Source organism: Homo sapiens, chromosome 6 (genome assembly GCF_000001405.40).
Source record: "Homo sapiens chromosome 6, GRCh38.p14 Primary Assembly".
Taxonomy (NCBI): Eukaryota; Metazoa; Chordata; class Mammalia; order Primates; family Hominidae; genus Homo; species Homo sapiens.
This window is the reverse complement of record NC_000006.12, coordinates 106,531,374-106,556,372: the sequence shown is the minus strand read 5'-3', so window position 1 is coordinate 106,556,372 and position 24,999 is coordinate 106,531,374. Positions and strand designations below refer to the sequence as shown.

Sequence of the window (24,999 nt, the reverse complement as noted above, 5' to 3'; positions counted from 1 at the left end):
TAAATAAGAGATACCAGCCTCACTAATAGTGAAATACAAATTAACCCAATGACGACATACTGCTTTCTGCTCATTCTATCAAGTTGACAAAAATTAGAATGAGAGAATATTCAGTAATGGCAACAATGTGTACTGCTGGTGGGAGTCTCAAGTGGTGGGATCTGGCAGTACTGAATGAAACTGCCTGTTCTTACATGTGAAATCCAGTAATTCTACTCCTAATATATAGTCCAAGAGACTCCCACTCAGGTCCATAGGGATATGCATATGAGGATTAAGTGAGTAAAACAGGGTGGTGGAAAACGTGTACCAGTTAGAATCAATAAACTAGATGTACACAGAGCCAAATGGACAGTTCCATCTCCAAGCCCTTAACTAACTTTAAGAGCAGGTTCTACCGGCTGGTTACCTCACTCTGACCATCAGCTATATGAGGCATACATTTCTGCAACACTATTCACAATGACATACTTACAACATCTATAAAACGAAGAGACTTGAAAGTTGCTCCAGGCGGGCATCCCATTGCAGACAGACAAGGATAATGGCCTTCTTCCAACACGTATTGATTACCAGTGAAATTTTCTCCATCATATACAACCCAGCTACAATGGGAAAAACCACACACATGCACAGAATATGCAACTTGAGCACTCCTATTCAAGAAGTCTGATTTTTAGAGGTGGCCTGCTATAAAATAAACACAATGCTTCTGGCAAACAGAGTTCTTTCTTCAAAAATATTTGGATATATTTATTGCATTTCTGCTTGTGGCAAAATAATATTCATAATAAGTCAGTTAACTTTGCATTTGGGAAACAAACTTCTTTCTCCACGTTCTTTCTGACTTCCCCAGCCTCCAGCCTTCCTTGCTCTTCTCATGGGTGCCACCGTTTGCCCAGCCAGTGGAGCTTCAAGCCCTCAAGTCCTTTTTGAATAATCCTTCTTCAAGCTTTGTGACTAGTTAATCACCAAGGCCTATTGATTTGGTCTATTGATTTCCTTCCAAAATTTCTCGCACACTCCTCTATCCTCATTTCTAATACCTCTGCACTGGGCCAGGAGTCAAAATACTATATTGACTTAGACAAGTCACTTAGCCTCTCTGGTATCAACATTATTCATAAAATGGTGATTTGCCATGCTCCCCTAGAAGTTTGTGGGCCTTTTTTTTTTTTTTCCTTTTTTTCTTTTCTTTTGGTGGCGGGGGGACAGAATCTCGCTCTGTCACACAGGCTGGAGTGCAGTGGCATGATCTCGGCTCACTGCAACCTCTGCCTCCTGGGTTCAAGCAATTCTTCTGCCTCATCCTCCTGAGTAGCTGGGACTACAGGTGCATGCCACCACACCTGGCTAATTTTTGTATTTTTAGTAGAGACGGGGTTTCACCATATTGGCCAGACTGGTCTCGAAATCCTGACCTGGTGATCTGCCCACCTCGGCCTCCCAAAGTGCTGGGATTACAGGTGTGAGTCACCGTGCCTGGCCCTGTTGTTGTTGTTTTTAACCCAACAAATGCCTTTTGAGGATTATGTGTCAGGTACTTTTCTATTGCTGGGGATACAGCAGAGAACCAAAGTCCCTGCTCTCCTGAAGTTAATACTCTAGTGAGCTGAGACAGGTAATTTTAAACATGCACAGGACTGGAGGTAATAAATGAAGCAGGCAGGGGATAACGAGGAGTGGGGATGTGGTAGCAGTATGTCCAACAAACTAGGAAGCTTTACTATCCAACTATGTATTTGCCTTTTTTGTTTTTTCCTGAGACAGTCTTGCTCTGTTGCCCAGGCTAGAGTGCAGTGCTATGATCTCAACTTACTGCAACCTCTGCCTCCTGGGTTCACGCAATTCTCCTGCCTCAGCCTCCCAAGTAGCTGGGATTACAGGTGTGTCACCATGCCCGGCTAATTTTTGTATTTTTAGTAAAGACAGGGTTTTGCCATGATGGCCAGGCTGGTCTCGATCTCCTGACCTCAAGTGATCTGCCTGCCTTGGCTTCCCTAAGTGTTGGGATTACAGGCAGGAGCCACTGCACCCGGCCTCCATCTGTGTATTTGAATGCAAAGTCAGTGCTTTTTTGCTGTGCAATACTAAAGGACAGGATAGCATTATTTCAACCATAAAGAACCACGTGATTAAAGGCACTATTACTACTATTATTAAGAGACTTAAATCCTCAACACCTCTTGCACAGATTGCTCCAAGGCTTTCCTGACCGAGTTTCCCTGACCTTGGGCTCTCCCCTCTCCATGAAGCTTTTGTACAAGGATTGTTTCAGCATGAAACAATTGAGCCCATTGCCTTTGCCCTGGGTCTTGTGTTTCCTGTGGAAGCCATCTAAACTCAGTGTGCTCAGCTTTGCTTCTCCTCCCAGTACAAAGCCCTCCCAGCAAGCCGGACTGGTATGCTCCCTGATTCGCGTGTCCACCAGCTCCACTCCAGCGTGTACTTTCTACCTTCCTGTTAATGCAGAGTGCCGATCCTGTCCTTTGAACAATCCACCTTGGGAGGTACCTTGGATTAACTAGAGCCCAACTCTCCCTTTCTAGATGATGGGAAGACATACAGAGTAAAGAACCTGCTCTGAATTCCATTACACAATGAGATGATCTTCAGCTTCTCCAACCAACCTGAAGCCCGTGTCCTCTGGCGTCTGGTACTCAGATATCACGAAGCACGCCATTGGACTAAGATGGTGGTTTCGCATAGTGCCAAGCACCTAACAGGCATCACTATATACTTGCTGATGTGTGAATTCTGTTTTACTCCAGTGATTCAGCTCTGCCAGGCCTTTGTTTCACTTACCTGCCTCCTGAAACTCTGCAAGACTTGGTAGAAAATGAATCATCAATTTGACTTGTTGTTTCTTCAAAACTTTGACTGTGACCTTGAAACTGTGGTTCTGAAAACAAGTGAATCTTTGAAAAAGTAAACAGAAACACATAAAATTATTTTCCTAAACACATTAACTAATTTAGCCTTTGAAATGATGACCTAAACATGACCTGCTGACTTTTGTTACAGTAAACTGGTACGAATTTTAGAAATCCTTTAATTTTCCATGTCTACATTCATGATCAATTAGAAACATGTTAGCTGCGCCATTCGTGACTATTTATTTAATTCAGAGACATCAAAGTAAAATGCAACAACAAAGGTAACTTTCTATAGAACACCCTGTTGTGAAGCTGTGAGGTATTTTAAAGCTTTATTGTGGTCAGAAATCATTGTTCATCAGTTCTGACATTAACGACAAACAGTATTTTGGAAAGACATAGTGTAGTTTCCTTCCTTCTCAATGGAAGACACTTGCTGACTTATCGGAATCCTGTGAATGCCAATAAAGGAGGCTATAGTGGTGTTTGTTCCTCTATAATTATGGCTCTGTGAACACTTCCATTAAAAGGCCGAAATAACAAATGTACACCCCAGTTGATGTTAAGAATCAGCATTCAGAAAGCTTGAGTGAGACCATAAAAAATGTCTAGTGTCGACACAGCAAATATGAAAATTCATTTTACCATCACAATAACTAGATGCTATTGTTTGAAATATTAATCTCAATGTATTAATATAAACTGAGTCAATGTAATGATATAAAATTCAGCTTTATACAATAAGCATTTTATAAGAATTATTTAGACATGGGTCAGTACTGTCAATTAACCATTAAAGTAAACTTAAATCTTATTTTTTAAATACAATTATGCTTTCAGGCATAAAAATGAGTAAAACTAACAAAATGTCCCAAATGTCTGATTTTTTTTTTTTTTTTTTTTTTTTTTTTTTTGAGACAGAGTCTCTGTCACTCAGGCTGGAGTGCAGTGGTGCGATCTCGGCTCACTCCAACATCTGCCTCTTGGGGTTCAAGCAATTCTCCTGCCTCAGCTTCCTGAGTAGCTGAGCTTATAGACACAAGCCACCACACCCAGCTAATTTTTGTCTTTTTAGTAAAGACGGGGTTTCCCCATGTTGGTCAGGCTGGTCTTGAACTCCTGAGCTCAAGTGATCCACCTGCCTTGACCTCCCAAAGTGCTGGGATTACAGGCGTGAGCCACCACACCCGGCCCCAAATGTCTGACATTTGAAACATAAGTTCAGCTTTTCAATGGAAGGCCCTTTATATATTAATATAAAAGAATATTTTTAAAGTTACCTGATTTCGTCTCCTTGGGCCAGTGAAAGAATCCTAAAAATTTTTAAAGGAAGGAGAAAAGGAAATGAATAGAACAAACACATTGAAAAAGTTTTTTTCTTCTAGATTATTAGCAATTACTGCTAAAAATAAACTCAGAATATTTTCCATAGCAATTACTATTACATGAACCAGGAACACACATTAAGGAAATCCAGAATTCAGTTAAATATTCTCATACAAAAATATAACTCCTTACCAAACATATAGGTTGAACAGAAGAGATCTTACAATTTTTGCCTCCCCAGTCCTCAAAACTGGTATAAAATCCTTTATCCAGTATATACTGTTCTCCTGTGAAGTCAGGATTTTCATAGGCTACCCATCTAAGAAACAAAAGCAATCACTTGTTGGAGTTCATATTTTACATATAAAACGATCACATATTTGGATATCTATGTATCATACAGAAACTTTCATTTGTTTTGCCAATTGAAATTTTAATTTTTCTGATTCTCCATTAACCTTTAGAAGCAGATGGGTTTGTCTATAGGACAAATCAGAATGGTAAGCCAGCAGAGAAGAGGGAACATTTATACACTGCTGGTGGGAATGTAAATTAGTTTAGCTGCTGTGGAAAGCAGTTTGAAGATTTCTCAAAGAACTAAAGATAGAACTAGTATTCAACCCAGCAATCCCATTACTGGGATATACCCAGGGGAAAACGAATTATTCTACCAAAAAGATACTTGCACGTGTCTTGTTTACTGCCACACTATTCACAATATCAAGATGTGGAATCAACCTAGGTGTTCATTGATCAATGGTGGATTGGATAGAGAAAATGTGGTACATATAAACCATGGAATACTATACAGCCATAAAAAAGAATGAAATCAAGTCCTTTGCAGCAACTTGGATGCAACTGGAGGTCACTATCCTAAGCGAATTAACACAAACAGAAAATCAAATACCAAATATTTATGAGCAAGAACATATACTTATGAGCATGTTCTTGCCCATAAGTGGGAGCTAAACATTGGTCATGCATGGACATAAAGAAGAAAAAAAAATAGGCCCTGGGGACTACAAAAGGGGCCAGGAGGGAGGGGGGTTTGAAAAACTACCTGTTGCATGCTATGCTCAGGTTGACGGGTTCAACCGTACCCCAAACTTCAGGAAATCATGCAATATACCCATGTAACAAACCTGCACATGTACCCCCTGAATCTAAAATAAGAGTTGAAAAAAAACTTAATGCAAAAGAAATGGTAAGCGTAAGGGTATCTTGACATGAACTTTTTGGCGTTCTCGCTTATCAAATACTATTTCTTGAGAAAGCTACAAAGGCAATACTTCTCTGTGCTTTTTTTTTTCTAATTGTATTCTAAGGAAACAAAACAAACAGGACTTTCAAGAAGAACCTAGTTCTTTTAATAAGCAATCAATAAGTCCTTTCATTCTCAACCTTAAAATATTTTTGCAGAAAGATCTTAGGAAGCTGTGTCTATTACACAACAAACCACACTGAAAAAGAAGTTAACAGAAGAAATGCTTTTAAAAATGCAGAACAGAACTAAAATATTGTTTCCAACAGTGTTTCCAACATCACATAAATATGTAAAAATTAAATAAACAAAATTGAGCAAACTCATAGAAATACTAAAAATAAATCTCTTTTGGAATGTTTTTTTCTCTTTTAAGTGATCTACACCCAGAGGAAAATCAACAAAACCAATTTAATGATGCTATTTCCTATGCAAAGATAAAGTCTTTGAAAGGAAAAGGTTTTTCAGTTCTGTTATATTAAAGAGATACTTAATACCATTATATTGAAGACATTAAGTATCTTTTCAATTAATTCATCATTCTCATGATCCTCTCAAAGCTTAAAGGAATAATATCTATGTATGTATTATGTAGGGTGATCAGAACTTTGCAAAATGTTTCCACATCTGTTATCACATTTAATCTCCTAGGGAGGTATTGGTGTTCCCATTTTACAGATGGGAAAAACCTAAGACACAGTAAGTTAATTCATTTACCAGGTGCCAGGAACTAGACTGGCACTAGATATACAAAGATGAAAAAGACAAAATCTCTGTCCTCCAAAGCCCACAGATGGGTAAGCAGCATCACATGGAAGTATTTGTTGGTATTTGTTTTGAATGGGAAATGACTTGTCCAGGGTGACACAATCGACTATTGGCCAGAACGTGACTGAACCTACCTGTCCTGAGGCCCACCAGGCTCTCCTTGCTTTGTGACCCAACCTGCCATGTGCCCTGGAAAGTTCCCTTTCATTTACTGTTCTAGTAAACCATGCCTAAAACAGTCCACACACTTTATAATTAGAGCAGATTATGATTTTACTATCCAAAGGGCTGATTTAAACAAAAACTCAAGTACAGTAATTACTAGAATATGAACAGCCATCAAGGAAAAAAAGAACACTGCCAAAATCTCCAGTGAGAAGTAGCTAATAACAGCCAACATCTGTGCACTCACTCCCAGCCATCCAAATGGAGAAGCTGCTATATGCACCACTCAGTCTTTCAGGAAATACAGCCCCCTACCACCCCCCATCCCCCGATTTCAGAACCTCACTAGCAATTTTTAAAACCTGTTCTTTTTTATTTTTATTTATTTTTTATTTTTTTTAGTAGAGTCAGGATTTTACCATGTTGGCCAGGCTGGTCTCAAACTCCTGACTTCAAGTGATCCACCCACCTCAGCCTCCTAAAGTGCTAGGATTACAGGCGTGAGCACTGTTCCCGGCCTAAAAACCTATCCTTTATCACTGAGAGGTGAGGAGATAGGAGACCTGGCTCCACCTGTGGCCATGACATTAACTTTCAGATAACTTTGAAGAACTCACTTAACCTTTGTGAAAGTTTGTATTTTCAAGTGTAAGTAGGAGAGTGGGCCAAGGTCCCCGGGCTGACCAGGTGATGCTGTACAGCACACGGGTACCCGCATGTGCTGCCTCTGCCCACAGGGCCTCAGGCTTTACCCCCAGCATGAAAGGAAGCAACAGTAAAGCCAGAGCAGGGAGCACTGCTATGTGGGAGGAGTGTCTGCACATCAAGAAAATCTACATGACTGGATTAAGAAAATGTGGCACATATACACCATGGAATACTATGCAGCCATAAAAAATGATGAGTTCATGTCCTTTGTAGGGACATGGATGAAACTGGAAACCATCATTCTCAGCAAACGATCGCAAGGACAAAAAACCAAACACCGCATGTTCTCACTCATAGGTGGGAATTGAACAATGAGAACACATGGACACAGGAAGGGGAACATCACACACCGGGGACTGTTGTGGGGTGGGGGGAGGGGGGAGGGATAGCATTAGGAGATATACCTAATGCTAGATGACGAGTTAATGGGTGCAGCACACCAACATGGCACATGTATACATATGTAACTAACCTGCACGTTGTGCACATGTACCCTAAAACTTAAAGTATAATAATAATAAAATTTAAAAAAAAAGAAAATCTACGTTACAAACACTAGGACTTTAAAAAAACAACGAACAATTAAAGAAGTAGAGCCACATCAAAAAAAGGGTTCTCACCAGGGCTCCGAGTCTGTAACAAGTAGAGAGATAAGAGGGTTAAAGGCCTTTCTGTTTGACTTCAAGGTTTGGAGGGAAAAAAGACAGTGAGGTGGGAGGCTGAATGCCAAGGAGAGAGGACAGCCCTGGAAGCAGCTTTAGCCAGTACTCTGTTCTTTTTACTAACAAGTATGGGTACTGTATTTTCCTATGAAACTAAACTACTTGTAAGTAAATACCCAACACCCAGCTAAGCCTATCTCTAATTCACTGAAGCTGAAGCTGGAAAACAATTTATTAAGATGTTACTTGAACTGACAGTAGTGTTGTTTTCCCTCCAAGATACCTGATGAATCACCCATGAATGGGGGGAGTGGGGGAGGGGAGAAGCCGCAAAACCCAGATCTGAGATTCTCTGCTCTATGATCCGAGAGTCTACTTACAACTTACACTTGGGGCTCTTAAGAAAATCCCTCCCTGTCCTTGTCCAGATGTATTCTGTACACATGAATCAACACTCCTCTGTTTAAAGACTGGTGGGGAGACGGGGGAAAGGCATGTACACAAGTACTAGCAGGTCCCAGCCTGGTGGAATAATTGCTCAGAAGATAAGGGCAGCAGGGTAAACCTGCCCTTCCGTGGAAGGCCAAAGGAAAAAGAATTTAAAACAACAACACTTTTCGTTTTCATCTGAATACCAGAAATATTTCATTTTGCTCCTAGTTTTAAAAAACTAGCCCAGTTTCCACTATTTGAGCAAGAATATAGCATAGAACTAGAAACTGATAAGCAGGGAGTTTCTTTCGACATTTCCAGTAAGAATCAAATGCAGTTCCTAAAAACCTCAGTTGCTGGTTTCATGGGCATCCTTCCTGAAGGCTGTTCTCTGTTTCAGGACTAATGATGAGTTTACTGCCCAGGGGATGTATTACCCATGTGATGGTGAGCCTCCTGGGAGATACTTTCATGGAACAAGAACTTCAGAAGAGTTTTTTTCTGACAATGCATGCCATAATAAGAAATAAAGAACCAAGCTAAAATACTTAATTGCCAATAAAAATAAAGCCATTAAAATACAATAATTTTCCTTTGAAACTATTTAAAGTGAATAGGTAGTCCTCCTCCATCATCTTGGCTCATCTCAGCCTTCCTATCCTATCCCACAGGCCTAACTCCAATGCCACCTCCTCCACAAAGTCTTCCTTCCCTGTGTCCAGACTGGAAATTAATCTCTCTCTGCTGTGGATTCCCAGAGCATTTAATCTGTACCTCTTTTGTAGCAATAATTATGTTTTACATAAATACCGTAACTTCTTTGAGGACATAATACAATGCTTTGCACATAACAGACCGCAATAAATACTTGTCAAATGACAAATCGAACAAAATATGAGGAAGCACCTGGCCCTGGTAAATACAAAAGCCCTTCCATATGCAAAGAATTTCAAAGGAAGTGGTGTGTGTGTGTGTGTGTGTGTGTGTCCACGTATGTGTACGTAGCTCCCTTCAACTTCCCCCTTCTACCAAAACTTAACTGCTACAGCCAGAAAAAAGAAGCTTAAGCCAGGAAATGCAATTAGAAATGACTAAAAATAGAAACATATAATAGCAGCACTTTATAAAGGGAACTGATTTCAAGTAAGCAAGGCCTGGGTTAAAAAGGAAAGGAGATTGGCTCAAGGCACAATAATTCTACCTGTGTTAATAGCATCATCTACAAAATACCTAAGGGAATTCATTCTACCCAGCATCCTTTTGCTTCCTCTGCCAGGGTGGATGACTAGGCTCTGACTAATAGAACCAACACAACTGGTGAGTATCAAAATGTACAACTGTTTCACCAGACTAAGTTGGTCACTATGTTTTCCTCCTAAATAATTAGCTTTAAAGACAATCTAAAATACTGCAGAGCCCCAGCAACATTTCAGATAACTTGTACCTTATATTTCAGATGACTTCTGGCTTTTGCAAACAGGCTACTGATTCTAAAATGTTAGGGCTCCAGAATAGGACCCAAGAGTAGGCATTTCCTGCTGAGAATGGAATACCCGGAAATCACTGATACTCTGCCAAAATGGCACCACATGCAACGGCCTAGACAAGAACTTGTTGAACAAGGTTTTTTTTACTCTATTTACTAAGAGTAAAAGTTAAGCATGTTCATCAACTTTTAGTACATTGTACACACTTTTCAAATATCCAGGGCTATTGTGGGAGGCCCCATGAGATACAATGGGGTTGAGGCTAGGATGATTCAAATAGTCTATGTCACTATGACAACAAAAACCTAACACCAAACACTTTCAGCATAACCAATGTCACATTATTTCATGTAACTATTTGAGAATACTCTCACTTATAACAAATTAGAATAGACATTAGCCTGGATTACAAGAATAATTATGTAACTCCCTATAACAGCCATCTGCTGTTTTTGCCCATCTGGCATCTATCTCCCCACTCTTTCTGATGTCCCTGGGGAACCACCAACCCCATTCATATCTAAGTGGCTCCTATGGGATAGACCCTACATCTCAGCTCTGGAGATGGACACGTAGCCCAGACATGGCCGTCTCTGTGGCTACAGTGATTGGTTCAGGCATGTGCACATGACCCAAGCCTAGGAAAGCAAAGTCAAACATGGAACTTGTGAGAAAGAGAAGCTCTTTCCACTGCAAGAAATGAGCTGGGGCCAGGCATGGTGGCTCATGCCTGTAATCCCAGCACTTTGGGAGGCCAAGGCGGGTGGATCACCTGAGCTCAGGAGTTTGAGACCAGCCTGGGCAACATGGCAAAAACCTGTCTCTAAAAAAAAATACAAAAATTAGCCAGGCCTGGTGGCACACATCTGTGGTCCCAACTACTTGGGAGGCTGAAGCAGGAGGATCGCTTAAGCCCAGGAGGCAGAGGTTGCAGTGAGCTGAGATTTTGCCACTGCACTCCAGCCTGGGTGGCAGAGTGAAACTCTGCCTCAAAAAAAAAGAGTTAGGAGAACAAAAGCTGAATGTGGCCACAGGCCACCAAATGCAAAAGGCCTACCTAAAGTCAAGTTAACACAGAAAAAAGCCCAGTCAAGACACAGAGACTAAGTTCTGATAGTGTTTGATCCGCTGCATCTAGGCATGCCTGAAGCAAAATCTTCTCCAGGACTTTTTAGTTACTTAAGCCAGTAAGTTCCATTTTAATCCCTTGAGCCAATTTAGCTTGGCTTGCAGTCACTTCATCCCAAAGAATCTTGACTAAACATCTTTCAATAAAAACTTGCTTCACCACTAATAAAACAGTCAACTGCTAACTCCACGTACATAGAACAATTATTTTTATGTCAAACTAATAGTGAAGAAATATACTGGAACAGGTGTAGGACCACAGGAAAATCTACTGGGACTTTGACCCAGCCTCAGGTTTATGTTAGATTACTATTATTATTATTTGATCTCCATCATTTAAAAAATTCACTATCTTTCTGTGCAGAATGACAAGGGAAACAGATCTGTAGATTTCTATCATGATACCCAAAGCCTACCCCAAACGTAAAAAGAAGAGATGGTATGAGAACGATTTTTAAAGAGAGTTAACGAAAATATCATGACAGCAACTATTAAATGACTGATTTAATGTTAAGCTGTTGAGATATTTGTGTATTGAATGCCTACTCTGTGATAGACTCTTACCAGTTTAAAACAAACCAAGGTAAAACGCATGTTTAAAATTCCAACTGGATTATTTCACTTACACTCCACTCAGTACATTAATAGACTGTGTCTTCACTCCATATCCAGTCTCCTTTAAATTAGCAACAATTCCCAATACATCAATACTGGAACCTTTGGATCCAAAGTTTTTTTCACTGTACATTATCATGTGAGCATTTGAAAAATCCTATTGAGAAAAAAAATTCAAAATTCAAAGGCTAGCCATTTATTATCCAAAGAAGACCAAGTATTAGCCATTAGCTTGTCCTTTACTTACACCTAATATAGGTCGTAAAGACTGAAGCTCTCCATTGTAACCTCCCCAGGCTTTCCAGTCCCTGTATTCTCCTTCTTCTAGCAAATACTGATGACCGGTAAATCCAGGTTTCTCATATGCAACCCAACTGCAACATAAAGAACACGAGGAGTAGTCATTTCCAGACATGTTAACATTTTTTCAAGGTACATATCAATTTCATTGAAAAATACAAATAGTTATAAAGCTAGACATGACCTTCTGCTTTATTATCATTGGAATTCTTTAAAATTTAGGAGAATAACAGAATGGCCCCAAGAAAATAACCTAAGAGACATATATCAGAGTTGTATAAAAAAGGGAAGGGGAGCGTGTGTGTGAGTGGTGTGTATGTGTGTGTGTTTAATCAGGGCTGACTCAAAAGAACCTCAGCAAGCAAAACTGGATAAACTCACTTCAGATAGTAACAAAAATATTATGAATAGTTAGCGATTTACAAGAGCAACTTTAGTGTGCACTTCTATGGGAAATGTGCAAGATCTATAAGATGCAAAAATATAAAAATCAGAAAGCGAACTATCAAACTGTTCAATAGCTTGGAGCATAATTCTAATAAGCAAGGTTGTAGATTTGATCAACTTGAACAGGCCAATGTATCAGCCTTCCTTGACAGAGTTTCGCTCTTGTTGCCCAGGCTGGAGTGCAATGGTGCGATCTTGGCTCACCGCAGCCTTTGCCTCCTGAGTTCAAGCGATTCTCCTGCCTCAGCCTCCCAAGTAGCTGGGATCACAGGCATGTGACACCACGCTCAGCTAATTTTGTATTTTTTAGTAGACATGGGGTTTCCCCATGTTGGTCAGGCTGGTCTTGAACTCCTGACCTCAGGTGATCCGCCCGCCTTGGCCTCCCAAAGTGTTGGGATTACAGGTGTGAGCCACCACACCCAGCCTCAAACTGCTTTCTTAAATCCAGTCACTATAGGCTGAGGAGAATGTGGATATAACTGTCAAAATTCACCATACTATAGAATCAGGAATGTTGTTTTTAGGGGGGAAAGGGCACATTTATTACTTAATATTTCGGAAAAAAAAGAAATCCTAACAAGTCACCCATGTACTTACATGCCTCTTAGAACTTTCATAGACCCCACTGACGTAAACGGCAAATGATCGTCTCCAGTCGCCTCTTCTGTTTCACCTCCCTCCATGACAAAACTACACATTCCTGTTTCTAGTTCCACACATTTTCCTTCAAAGAAAGGCTTTTCATAAACAACTACCTACAATAGAAATGAGATATACCAGTAATCTGTAAGAAGTATCCCAACAGCTTAACATTAAATCAGTCATTTAATATCACTAAGTCCTGACACACAAATTAAAATTTTCTGACTGGGCGCGGTGGCTCACGCCTGTTATCCCAGCACTTTGCGAGGCTGAGGTAGGTGGATCACTTGAGGTCAGGAGTTCGAGACCAGCCTGGCCAATATGGTGAAACCCCGTCTCTGCTAAAAATACAAAAATTAGCTGGGCATAGTGATGCACACCTGTAATCTCAGCTACACAGGAGGCTGAGGCAGAACCGCTTGAACTCAGGAGGCAGAGGGTTAAGTGAGCCGAGATCACGTCACTGCACTCCAGCCTGGGTGACAGAGTGAAACTCTTGTCTCAATAAAATAAATAAAATAAAATAAAATTAAATTTAATTAAAATAAATAAAATAAAATAAAATAAAATAAAATGTTCTAATCATATTTTAAAAAATTAACTAGGCCAGGCACAGTGGCTCACACCTGTAATTCCAGCACTTTGGGAGGCCAAGGCAGGAGGATCACTTGAGCTCAGGAGTTTGAGACCAACCTGGGCAATATGGTGAAACCCCATCTCTGCTAAAAATACAAAAATTAGCTGGGCATAGTGATGCACACCTGTAATCTCAGCTACGCAGGAGGCTGAGGCAGAACCGCTTGAACTCAGGAGGCAGAGGGTTAAGTGAGCTGAGATCACGTCACTGCACTCCAACCTGGGTGACAGAGTGAAACTCTTGTCTCAAAATAAAATAAAATAAAATAAAATAAAATAAAATAAAATAAAATAAAATAAAATAAAATGTTCTAATCATATTTTAAAAAATTAACTAGGCCAGGCACAGTGGCTCACACCTGTAATTCCAGCACTTTGGGAGGCCAAGGCAGGAGGATCACTTGAGCTCAGGAGTTTGAGACCAACCTGGGCAATATGGTGAAACCTCATCTCTGCTAAAAAGAAAAAAAGTTGGGTGTAGTGGTACATGCCTATAGTCCCAGCTATTCAGGAGGCTGAGGCAAGAGGATGGCTTGAGCTGGAGAAATCGAGGCTTCAGTGAGCCGTGATGGTGCCACTGTATACCAGCCTGGGTGACAGAGCAAGGCCTGGTCTCCACAAAAAAAAAAAAAACCCTAAATAATGGCATCTGATAAGATAGTAAAAAGAAAAAAAAAAATCTGGCTTTTTTTTTTCCCTAATGTGGTATAGCCCAAAGCCATGGTTCCAAACAGTTTTAAAATAATTTATATACATATATATATAAAATAAATATATACACACACACATATATATGTATATATAAAACTGATATTTAGAACCACATAGAAGGAACCAGAGGATTCTAAAGTAGTGTTAAAATTGAAAATTGAAAAGTTATAGTGTGTGGCATCGATGTGGGAATTGGGAATAGCAGAAAGGGTATTTTGGAGTAGGGAAAGTTTGTCTTAAAAAAGTTTTTTCCTGGCTAATTGGCAAGCAGCAAGAAGCCCTGCAATTAGTAAATACAACTGCAAATTGTTAACTCAATATAACAATGACCCTTCTGAGCCATGGCTAAATGTACTCTTAGTGATAACCAGTGCCATTAGCATCATCTTCCACCCTGAAGGATGGCAAGTGTAAGTTGGCAACTTCCTTTGGCTGCATTTATGTGTGACAGAGGTTTAATATGAGAAGTCACATAAGCAATATCTTCATAGAGATGGAGTGGGAATAACATTAAGTACATATATATGTGTATATGTTTAAATAATTACATATACATACATACAAAAATACATATATATTTTTACCTTTGGATCTGTAGGGAATTCAACTTTACGGCCACCCTGAAAAAAACAACATAGTAAGAAAAATAGTTTTTCACTGATACATTACCATTTTATATTAGCCATAGCAGTTTACAGTAAAACATTGAATTTCAGTGTGACTATGTTCTGGTTTGTTTTAACTTACGTGAGATAGTTCTAAAATTACCAACAATACAGATGAAGACACGAGGAAGGCAGGCTAGAACGGAGCCTCGCACAAGCAGTCTATAAGCTGATCTGCGTTGTAGGAGTGTTTTTTGACCTAGCAAGTTTTTTTAACTTGGAAAATTTATCATAAAAATCCATACTTCTCTTGAAAAAGCAGTTCCAAGAGCTGACATCTCTGGACCCAGATTCTCCCAGGCCACTGTCTTCGGCTTCTGCATTTAACGATCCTGCCCTCAGTTCATCCTTCAGCTGGGCACAGGCCCGGGGTTGCCGTCTCTACCATTCCCTTCGGTTTAACTCTCAGCCATTTGTATTTGCTGCCTGGCCCCTGAAGGTATTTGATTTTGCAACCAGGGCTTACGAAACTATTATGTGTTGAAGTTCACATAATAAGATCTGGGGGACTCATGGAATAATTAGATAAACTGTTAAATAAAATTTAAAACATCCCAAAGGATGAGTCTATGAGGGGTTGTTATAAAATAGAAAGCTTTTTAAAAACAAAAAAACTCACTAAAATCAGAGAAATGGTATTACATTAAAAAGATATTGCACAAAAATATTAAATAGTTCAAGAGTTTAAATCAGCAATGGGAAAGTTGGATTTTTTTAAAATTAATATATCTTTAATAGCTTTTTAAAAAAAAGTACCACCAAGGATGCTCAAAGGCACCAAATGAACTATAATTATAAAAGAATGTGTTGGTTTCCTTAACTTTTATGAAAAAACAAGCAAAAAAAAAAAGGAAAAAGGAATGTGGCTGATATTATCAGCAAACCAGAGATTATACAACTAAGCACATGACCTTTTCAAAAGTAATCCTGTTTGAACACCATAGACTTTGGAGACTTTTCATCATCATTACAAACTGCTCCTAAAACCTGGATGAATTCTTTCATACATTCACAAAACTAACAAAACTTTGTTCTTTGAAAGTGAGTTTAATTTTAGAAACAAAAGCCCAAATCATTTGCATTAAGACCAGCAAACATACAGATAATTAAACCAAATACTTTGGAAGGATGGGTAAAATTAACATTAAAAAAATTGTCTTCCTAACTTTCTAATTTGTCTCAAACTGTCTCAGAAGACAACTGCGAAGTGCAGCTTCAAAAACATGTTTGTAATGGGAGCCTCATCTCACTGTGGGTATTTAGGGAACAACTTCCATGCTGCAGCACACACTGCGCTCAACACTGGGGACAAGACAGATGCGGCCTGCTTCCTCCCAAAGCTGACAGTCTAGCGGAAGAAACAAAGAACAAAGCAAGACACTGGGACAAGGGAGAGGAAGCACAAAGCTTCCACAGCAGATACTCAGGAGGACAACACTCATCTGGTCCAGCCCCAGAGACCCCCAAGACACCACCCACTCGTGTCACGGCAGCCGAGCCGGTCCTCAGCGTGCCCTGCTCTCTCTCAGGCTGCACCCTAGCTCACACAGTGCATTCACCGACAGCTCCATTTAAAAAATCATCCTGCTAATTTTTTAAGACTGAATTTAATTTAGCATGAAGCTTTCCTAATTATCCCTTTTCTGTCACATCACCCACAACTTGGAATTGTATGTATCTTTGTCCTGTTTTTCCACCAATGTTTAATTCTTCACTTTCCTCACTTGTTAAACCTACACTGCGCTGAAGCTTTGCGCACCCATCTGCAGCTCTGCAGGGCTGAGAATGCCTTAAAGACAAAGGACATAGTCTTACCTGCCTTTTTTTTTTTTTTTTTAATCTATAGCATCTAGCAAGTTATTCTTTCCATGATTTCTATTGAGCAATAGGTCCAATCTACTACAAATTTGTTTCTTAAAAGTCAGCTTTATTGCTTCAAAGTCACACCCTGTGAATTACCACGTCAAGCTGACAAAGAATCACCACAAGGACATTTGGATTTCATTTTTACCATTTTCAGAGGCCGCATGGATCCAATGTACGCTTCTTCTGTATCCCAGAAGGACAAGTCAGGGTATTCACCAGGTTCCAGGATGAAAGGAACACCCTGAAATCCAGGTTCTTCATAAATCAGCCACCTAAATAGCCACCATGGAAGGAAAGAAAGGGAGCCGACTCATCATTTGTTTCAGTTTTTCCTTCTGTCTGGTACCCAGGATGAGAGGAAAAGAACAGGAGAGGATACGGACCTACATAATGAATGGTTGGACTCAGGTGTTAGAATCACACTAGACTCAAGGAAAAATAAAGCCATTATATGCCCCTATTCTTGATCTTTTACTTTTCTCCTTGGCTGGCTTTGTCCCCTTATTTTAATTTGTATTATTAATTGCTCCAAAGTTCCATCTAATCATTTGTCATGGTGCCAAACATTAGTAACAGCTAACATCTCCCTAGAGCTTACAAGGAATGCCACTGAGAACTTCATCTAATCCTCACAACCATGCTATGAGGAAGAGAAGCTATTGTCCCCATTTTATAGATAAAGTTAAGTAAGTTGCCCAAGGCCACACAGCTATAAGTATGAAAGGCTGGAATGATTCAAGCCGATTCCAGAACCAGGTTCCTAATCAATTTTTTTTTTTTTTGACGGAGTCTTGTTCTGTCACCCAGGCTGGAGTACAGTGGCTTGCTCTCAGCTCACTGCAACCTCTGCCTCCTGGTTCAAGTGATTCTACTGCCTCAGCCTTCCAAGTAGCTGGGAGTACAGGCACACACCACCACATCCGACTAAGTTTTGCATTTTTTTTTTAGTAGAGGGGGTCTCACCATATTGGCCAGGCTGGTCTCAAACTCCTGGCCTCAGGTGATCCGCCCGCCTTGGCCTCCCAAAGGTGCTGGGATTACAGGTGTGAGCCACCATGCCCAGCCCTAATCATTTTTGTGATGGCAATTTTTCTCATTGCAGGAAGTGCATTGAACACAGTTTACTCTTTTCACAGTTACTCAGGATCATCACTGTGAGCATTATTTAATGCACAGTGGTGTCCTCAGGGGCTCTGAAGTTCTGTGGGGCTGCTTGTTCCCAGGCCACAAAGCTTTTTGAGTTCTTGGTTCTGATTGTTATGGCTTTTCAATACCACACCCTTCTATCAGCTTGTCAGCTGTCACTTCTGCTTCAGTTGGGGAACCAGCAGCCCCACCCTCCTCTAATGTGCCAGAAATCAGGAAACCAGAAAACCATGCCTACTAGCCCTGTCTCTAAACTTTACAAGGTCTTCTTGTAAACATCTTCGTTCCTGGGAAGGGTTCTGAGAAGGTGAGGATGCTGAAGAAGTGACTTTTCTATAAGAGAGGGGTTAATGTACCTGCTTCATAAACAAACATAGACTTCTTAGTGATCACTTACACTCATCAATTCGGTTAGTTTTGCTAAAATGTTTTAGCCGTGGTACTCCACCATGTTGTGTTCCCCAGAACACCATGCCAAGAAGAGAGTGGCTGTAAATGAAATCTTTTACCAACAAAACGGGTCTGACCCCTCCCTCTTTGCTTTTTTCTTCTTCCCAATTTTGGCCCAAGGCACATTTTTGGCGGTGGTTTTTGTGAAGATTCCGCTGGATAAACTGGTAACTTCTCTAGACTCTCTAATTATACAGAGATTTACAACCAGGCTCCTACTGATGATTTGACAACACACACATGAAAGAATGTTGGGAGGCCAGGTGTGGGATATGGGTAGGAGGTCAGAACTACAGTGTTAGAAGTCAGGATGATGGTTCCTGGGGAAGAGGGCGTGAGGACGCATGAAAGAAACGGGTTTCTGCGATGCTGGGAATGTTCTTTTTCTTGATCTGAATGGTGACTGCGCTTGTGTATTCACTTTGTGAAAATTCACTCAGCTTATATATTTAGGGTTTATGTACCTTTTTGTACAAATGTTATGCTTCAAAAAAAGTTACCTTAAGGAAAAAAAGAGGCTTATCTTTTAAATACTACTGTAATGCTTCTAAACCACAAGAAAACAGACGCTAAGAATAGGGTACTTTACACTTCCTTATGTTTAAAGCATGACAGCCAAGGATACGTTACATGTATTTTGGAGCTCAAAGCTATCACAGGCACAGTACCCATGGATTTTGTTCTCTAACAAAATAATGGCAGTTCTGTAACACATTATGGTATTAGGCTAACCAAGCAGGTCCCAAGTCTGACTTCTTTACAAGTGAACAGGTTTAATTTTTCAAAAACTGAATGTACGGCTCACGAGCAAGCGATCTGAGATTTTGAAATGATTCTTACCGAAGTACCCTTTTCATTAAGTCTTTCCTTCTATAGCTTGAGTTCAGAGGGGATTTATTCATCTAATACTAAACATTTCACTTCTGTTGAAGCATGTGGTTTAGTTGCATAACATTCATGGAAGGAAAGTCATTCTGGGTAGAGGGGAATTTGTGAAAAAACCGAAAACATGAATGAATGCATTTGAAAAGACTGCTGTTCTGAAAGTTCTCCCTTAGTAAATGAGTGCTGAAGGCCTGCTGGGTAATTCAAACAGACATTTATTAATGCTGGGTGGACTTTGAATTTGAAAACTCATATGCAGAGTATGATTCACTTTTTCTAAATTCTGTTCCAATAAGATACATTATTTATGAGGCCATCAGGAGAGGGGGAAACTATCTCCAGGCAGGGTTATTTCAGTTTCTAAAGGTAATCTTTTATTTTCCCATGTACTTGGGTCATAAGCTTTCGCCAATATAGATTAAAAAGTACAACTTTATTGTCGTACTTAACAAACAGTATGATTATAAAGCCCAAGCTTATTTTTTAAACAAACAAATGTATACCTACAAATGAATATTGTTAAAGTAATAACAATGGCCATCTATATGTTTATTTAAAATATTTGTCCAATTACTCTTTTAGAAATACCCTTTGAGTCACACAAGAAAAATCAGTCTTATCTTGTTCACTTGCTCTTAAACAAAAACAGCACTTCCAGATGGATCTTAAGTTGTGTTCCCTAGACATGGCTGTACATGAATATTGGCCATTCACAGAAACCAACTGGATACTTGAAAAATTAAATATGAAGGTACTGACTTTGAGGTTATTCACAAGAGAGGGGGCTATGAATGTCAAAGGGGAAAATGAACCTTTACAATGGAAAGATGGAGGAGGCACCACTTTAACCAAGCAATCAAACTTGGTATTGCTAAAGGGCAAGCTAGTTAGCACATGCCACCTGCTGTGATACAACATAAATATATGGCACTATCTATATGAAGTATCCGTGCCAAAACTGTTTGGCCTGAACCTAACCATACCTTAAGACCTAAGCCCTAGTAGATAGGAAATTCGGGCAACAGAAGAACATGCTAAATAGTAGCATGAGGGAACACTCAGACAAATCTAGAATGTGGCACACTCTCTAAGACAGCTGGCCTAAATCTTTTTAAAAGTTAGTGGCTCACGCCTGTAATCCCAGCACTTTGGGAGGCCGAGGCGGGTGGATCATGAGGTCAGGAGATCGAGACCATCCTGGCTAACAAGGTGAAACCCCGTCTCTACTAAAAATACAAAAAATTAGCCGGGCGCGGTGGCGGGCGCCTGTAGTCCCAGCTACTCGGGAGGCTGAGGCAGGAGAATGGCGTGAACCCGGGAAGCGGAGCTTGCAGTGAGCCGAGATTGCGCCACTGCAGTCCGCAGTCCGGCCTGGGCGACAGAGCGAGACTCCGTCTCAAAAAAAAAAAAAAAAAAAAAAAAAAAAAAAAAAAAAAGTTAGTGGCTTGGGAAACAAAGATGGGGTATTTTAGAGATCTTTAAAAAGAGACTTAAAAGAGACAGAACAATCAAACGCATTTATGTGAACCTTGATTGGATCCTGATTTGAAAATGCAAATCTATAAGAGACATTCCTGAAGCAATTGGGAAAATTTGGTGATGGACTATTGAACAGATATTATCATGGACACTTTGTGAATTTTCTCAAGTGTAATAATGATACTTATGCAGGGGAATACCATTAGAAAGAGAGTCAGGCTGAATCCTATGTGGAATGAAGGGTCATGATATCTCCAATGTACATTGAAGTGCTCAGAAAAATAACACAAATATGGTAAAATGATAACAATTATTGGGTCAAAGTGAATGGTACATTGGTGTTCACTGAACTATTCTTCCTACTTTTCTGTATGTTTGAAAACTTTTATAATAAAAAATTGGGCTCTGATATGGTATATTCCACAATGAAATATACAGTGACTATTACACAGCAATGAAAAAAATACATAGAGATGTACCCATCAATATGAGTAATCTTAGGAGTGTGGTTACATGTGTAACCACGGTGGGCAGCAATGTTGGTAATGGTCTAGGTTGTAAGTTGGATGGTGGGTCCACGGGGGATTGTTTTATTATTGGGCTTCATAGTTCACATATATACATATATTATTCTGTATATGTCAAATATTACACAGTACAAATGATCAAATAATGTTTGTCAATTAAAAAAGAAGTCCCTTGACTTTAGAACACCTGCATTCTAGTACACATTCTGCTAACAGCTAACCCTAGTCTGGAGAAAGTGACCAAAGCTTGTCTTCCTCAGTCAAATGATGGTGTTGGGCCAGATCATCTTTATACTCCCTTTGAAGTTCTAAACTTCTTTGCTTTTGTTCGTCATAAATATACCACCCCCCACTTCCACCCCTACACACACCCCGCCCCCAAAAAACCCAATATGCTTTCACCTCTGGGAGGATGGGTGCCAGGATTAGCCAGCTGCTTAAAAGAAAGATTTAAAAACAAATTACTCTCAACAGAATCTGAAAGGCAAGTTTAGTTAGAAATCACTCATTTCCTCAAACAAGAATTTGACCAGACAAGTAACACCCTTATTTTGTGTATGAGTAGAAGAGCTTAATCTAGAGTGAATGGGCCCTGGAATAAATCACCTAATGGATTCTTAAGGAGTTCCCTCTACAGCAAAGACTTCTTATCCCAGTTCAGGGGAACCAGTGCATCAACAGAAGCAAAATGAGCTTCAGTACTTACTATCAGTGACATCTTCTCAACCCCTTGAGACTTTCCTTTGAGATCTATAAAAGCACTAATGACCTGGTGTCTAAGCTCACCAACCAAGTTCAACGAGCCCAAACTTTGAATTAACATCTGAGGCAGTGTTCAACAGAAATGAACAGCCAGAAAAGAAGATGCTCACCATGACACAAACCTGTCATAAATTGTAAGCTGTGACAGGCTGGTAACTACCACCCAGGAGGCAAAGCTAAACTTACTGCAAAGGTAAGAAATATCATTTAAGGTAGATTAATGTGCTTCAACATAGCCAAGCCTGAGTCATGGCACCTTCCAGACACTGAGATTAAAATATGATAACAGATGCCTTTTTCATTCTTTTCTAAGGAAAGTGGTGTTTCTCAACCTGACACCAATTCTTTAAAAAAAAGTGTATAGACTTCTTTCATGTAAAAAAATTAAAGGCAGCAAGAGATGAAGGCATTTTCTTTTGCTTAGATTCCCACTTTTCTTCCCAGTCTCTAAATACAAAAGTGCCTTCTCTTCCCTTAACTACACCCACTCCCCTTTGGGACTGTGTCCTGTGCCTGGTTTAAATACATTCTCTTTGCCAGTGACTCCTAAATTTATGCCTCCAGCCTCTCCCCTGAACTCCAGCCTCACATAGTCACCTTCTTGCCCACTTACTTGAATTTGCAGTTGGCATCTCAGCCTTAACCTGTCCAAAACTGAGCTCCTGAATCTCACTCTCTCTCCTATCCTGCTCCTCCAAGTCTTTTTCGTCTCAATAAATGTTGGGGTTCCAAACCCTGGGCATGTCTTGGCCCCTCATACCCCACACACAATCTGTCAGAAATGCTGTTAGTTCTACCTTCAAAATGCATCCAAGATCTGACCATTTCCCACCACCACCATCGCACGTCTAAGCCACCATCTCTTCTTGGCTGTATGATTGCAAGTGCATCCTACGTGGTTTCTTGGCTTCCACCTTTGCCTCTTTACAGACTATTTTCTATACGAACAGACAGGCTGATCCTTCTATTAATAACACAAGTTAGATAAAAATTCGCCAATGATTCTCCATGCCACGTAGAGTAAATCTAAATCCTCCTCCCCAAGGCGTGAAAGGCCAGATGTGACCTGAGCCCTGTCTTATCCCTATCCTCCTACTTCACTCAGCTTCAGCCGCCTTGGCCTCTTAGCTATTGCCCAAGCATGCCCAGAAGGGCTTTTGCAAATGGTGTGCTTCCTCTCTGGGACAGGCTCCCTGCCCCTCTTCCCTCAGCTAGCTCCAGGGCAGACTCCCTCACTTCCTGCCGGTCCCTCCTTAAAATGTCACCAGAGTCCTTTACTAGCTACCCTATCTAAAATAGCAACATGCCTGCCCCTCTGTAATTTATGTTTCTTGTAGCCTTTGCCATCTGACACATTATATATGTATTTGTGTTGTTTATTCCTGCTAGACTGACAGCTCCAGGAGAATGGGGACATCATTTTATGTCTTCACTGCTGTATTCCCAGTGACTAGAAAAGCACCTGGCACATGGTAGATGCTTGATTAACAGATTTACTGAATATATTTAATACATCTCATAGACACTCTTTTGGGTTTATATTTGTTAAAGTCCCAATTTCTTGTCATATTTAGACAGGGTATGCAGAGGAAATAAAAGCCTTTCCTAATTTCTACTTCTAAACTAACCACCTTTAAAAATTTCAGAGCCTTTCAAGGACTACGGGGTACCAAATGATATAACTCAAAATGTACACAAAAAACAGTACATTTATTTAAAGAAGATATACAAATGGCCAAGAGGTATATGAAAAAATGTTCAACATCACTCAAGATCAGGGAAATGCAAATCAAAACCACAATGAGATACCACCTCACTCCAGTTAGAAAGGCTATTATCAAAAAGACACAATATAACAAGTATTGGTGAGGATGTGGAGCAAAGGGAACTCTTCCACACTATTGGTGGGAATATAAATTAGCACAGCCATTATGGAAAACAGTATAGAGGCTCCTCAAAAAATTAAAAATAGAACTCCTGTGTGATCTTGCAATCTCACTACTGAGTATATATCCAAAGGAAATGAAATCAAGTATGTCAAAGGATACCCGCACTTGCATGTTTCTTGCAGTGCTATTTGTAATAGCCAAGATACAGAATCAGCCTGAGTGTCCATCAACAGATGAATGAATAAAGAAAATGTGGTAAAAATATATAATAGAATAAGTTCTGGTGTTCTATTCCACAGTAGGGTAACTATGATTAACAATAATATATTTTATATTTCAAAATAGCTAGAAGAGAGGATTCTGAATGATCTTACCACAAAGAAATAATACGTGTTTGAGGTGATGGATTTGCTAACTTCCCTGATTTGATCATTATGCAATGTATACAGGTATCAAAACCTCACATTGTACCCCATAAATATGTGCAATTATTATGTGTCAATTAAAAATAATTTAAAAAGCAGTAAAATGTATACTATCCTTGGAAAATAACTTTATACATCAAGAGGAGATATTTAAATTAATATTGTTCTCTACACCCCAAATTCTGCCCTAGTAACTACACCTTTGTATATTGACGAACCATCACTATAGTCCTCCCTTGTTATTTTCTCACTCTTCTGGGAGAGGAAGGTTGTTTTCTGAGACGGGCTGCCATAGGGAAAGAATACCATCGGGCTTCTGGGGTGCTGGTAATGTTCCAGTTCTTGGCTCAAGTGGTGTCTACTTGGGTGCTCACTTTATTTGTTTAAGTGTACATTTACCTTCTGTGAACTTTTTTCTAGGTGTCTTATATTTCAAAATGTTAAAAGTAAATAAATAAATGAACAAACTGTCGTAAAGGAGGTACCTAACTCATACTTTCCTTTCCCTACAAAGCTCTGGATAAATTCTTGTCCATCCTCTACCTGAGTACTCCCTGCGATGAGAAACTCTTTACCTAACAAGGCAGCCCACTTCCATTTTAACTGTATTAACCATCAGAAAGTTCTTCCCTGGGTCAAGTCAAAATCCATCTCTCTAATTTCTACTGGTTTTTCCTGGGACCTCCTATGGAATAACAGAGAGCAAGTCTAATATCTCTTCTATATGACCACCTTCCA

At 39.9% G+C, this 24,999-nt stretch overlaps 1 protein-coding gene across 3 annotated transcripts in view; it reads right to left on the bottom strand.

The window, feature by feature from the left end:
* Nucleotides 1–24,999, bottom strand: part of CRYBG1 (crystallin beta-gamma domain containing 1) — a 211,301-nt gene that overhangs the window by 15,645 nt on the left and 170,657 nt on the right. For all 3 annotated transcript variants that reach the window (XM_047418270.1, NM_001371242.2, NM_001624.4), the window contains 9 exons: nt 16,844–16,970; nt 14,752–14,787; nt 12,776–12,933; nt 11,676–11,802; nt 11,440–11,585; nt 4,395–4,521; nt 4,157–4,189; nt 2,806–2,918; nt 476–605 (listed from right to left, as the gene is read on the bottom strand). In XM_047418270.1, coding sequence (XP_047274226.1) covers nt 476–605; nt 2,806–2,918; nt 4,157–4,189; nt 4,395–4,521; nt 11,440–11,585; nt 11,676–11,802; nt 12,776–12,933; nt 14,752–14,787; nt 16,844–16,970 — 997 coding nt within the window. The remainder of the gene's footprint in view (nt 1–475; nt 606–2,805; nt 2,919–4,156; nt 4,190–4,394; nt 4,522–11,439; nt 11,586–11,675; nt 11,803–12,775; nt 12,934–14,751; nt 14,788–16,843; nt 16,971–24,999) is intronic.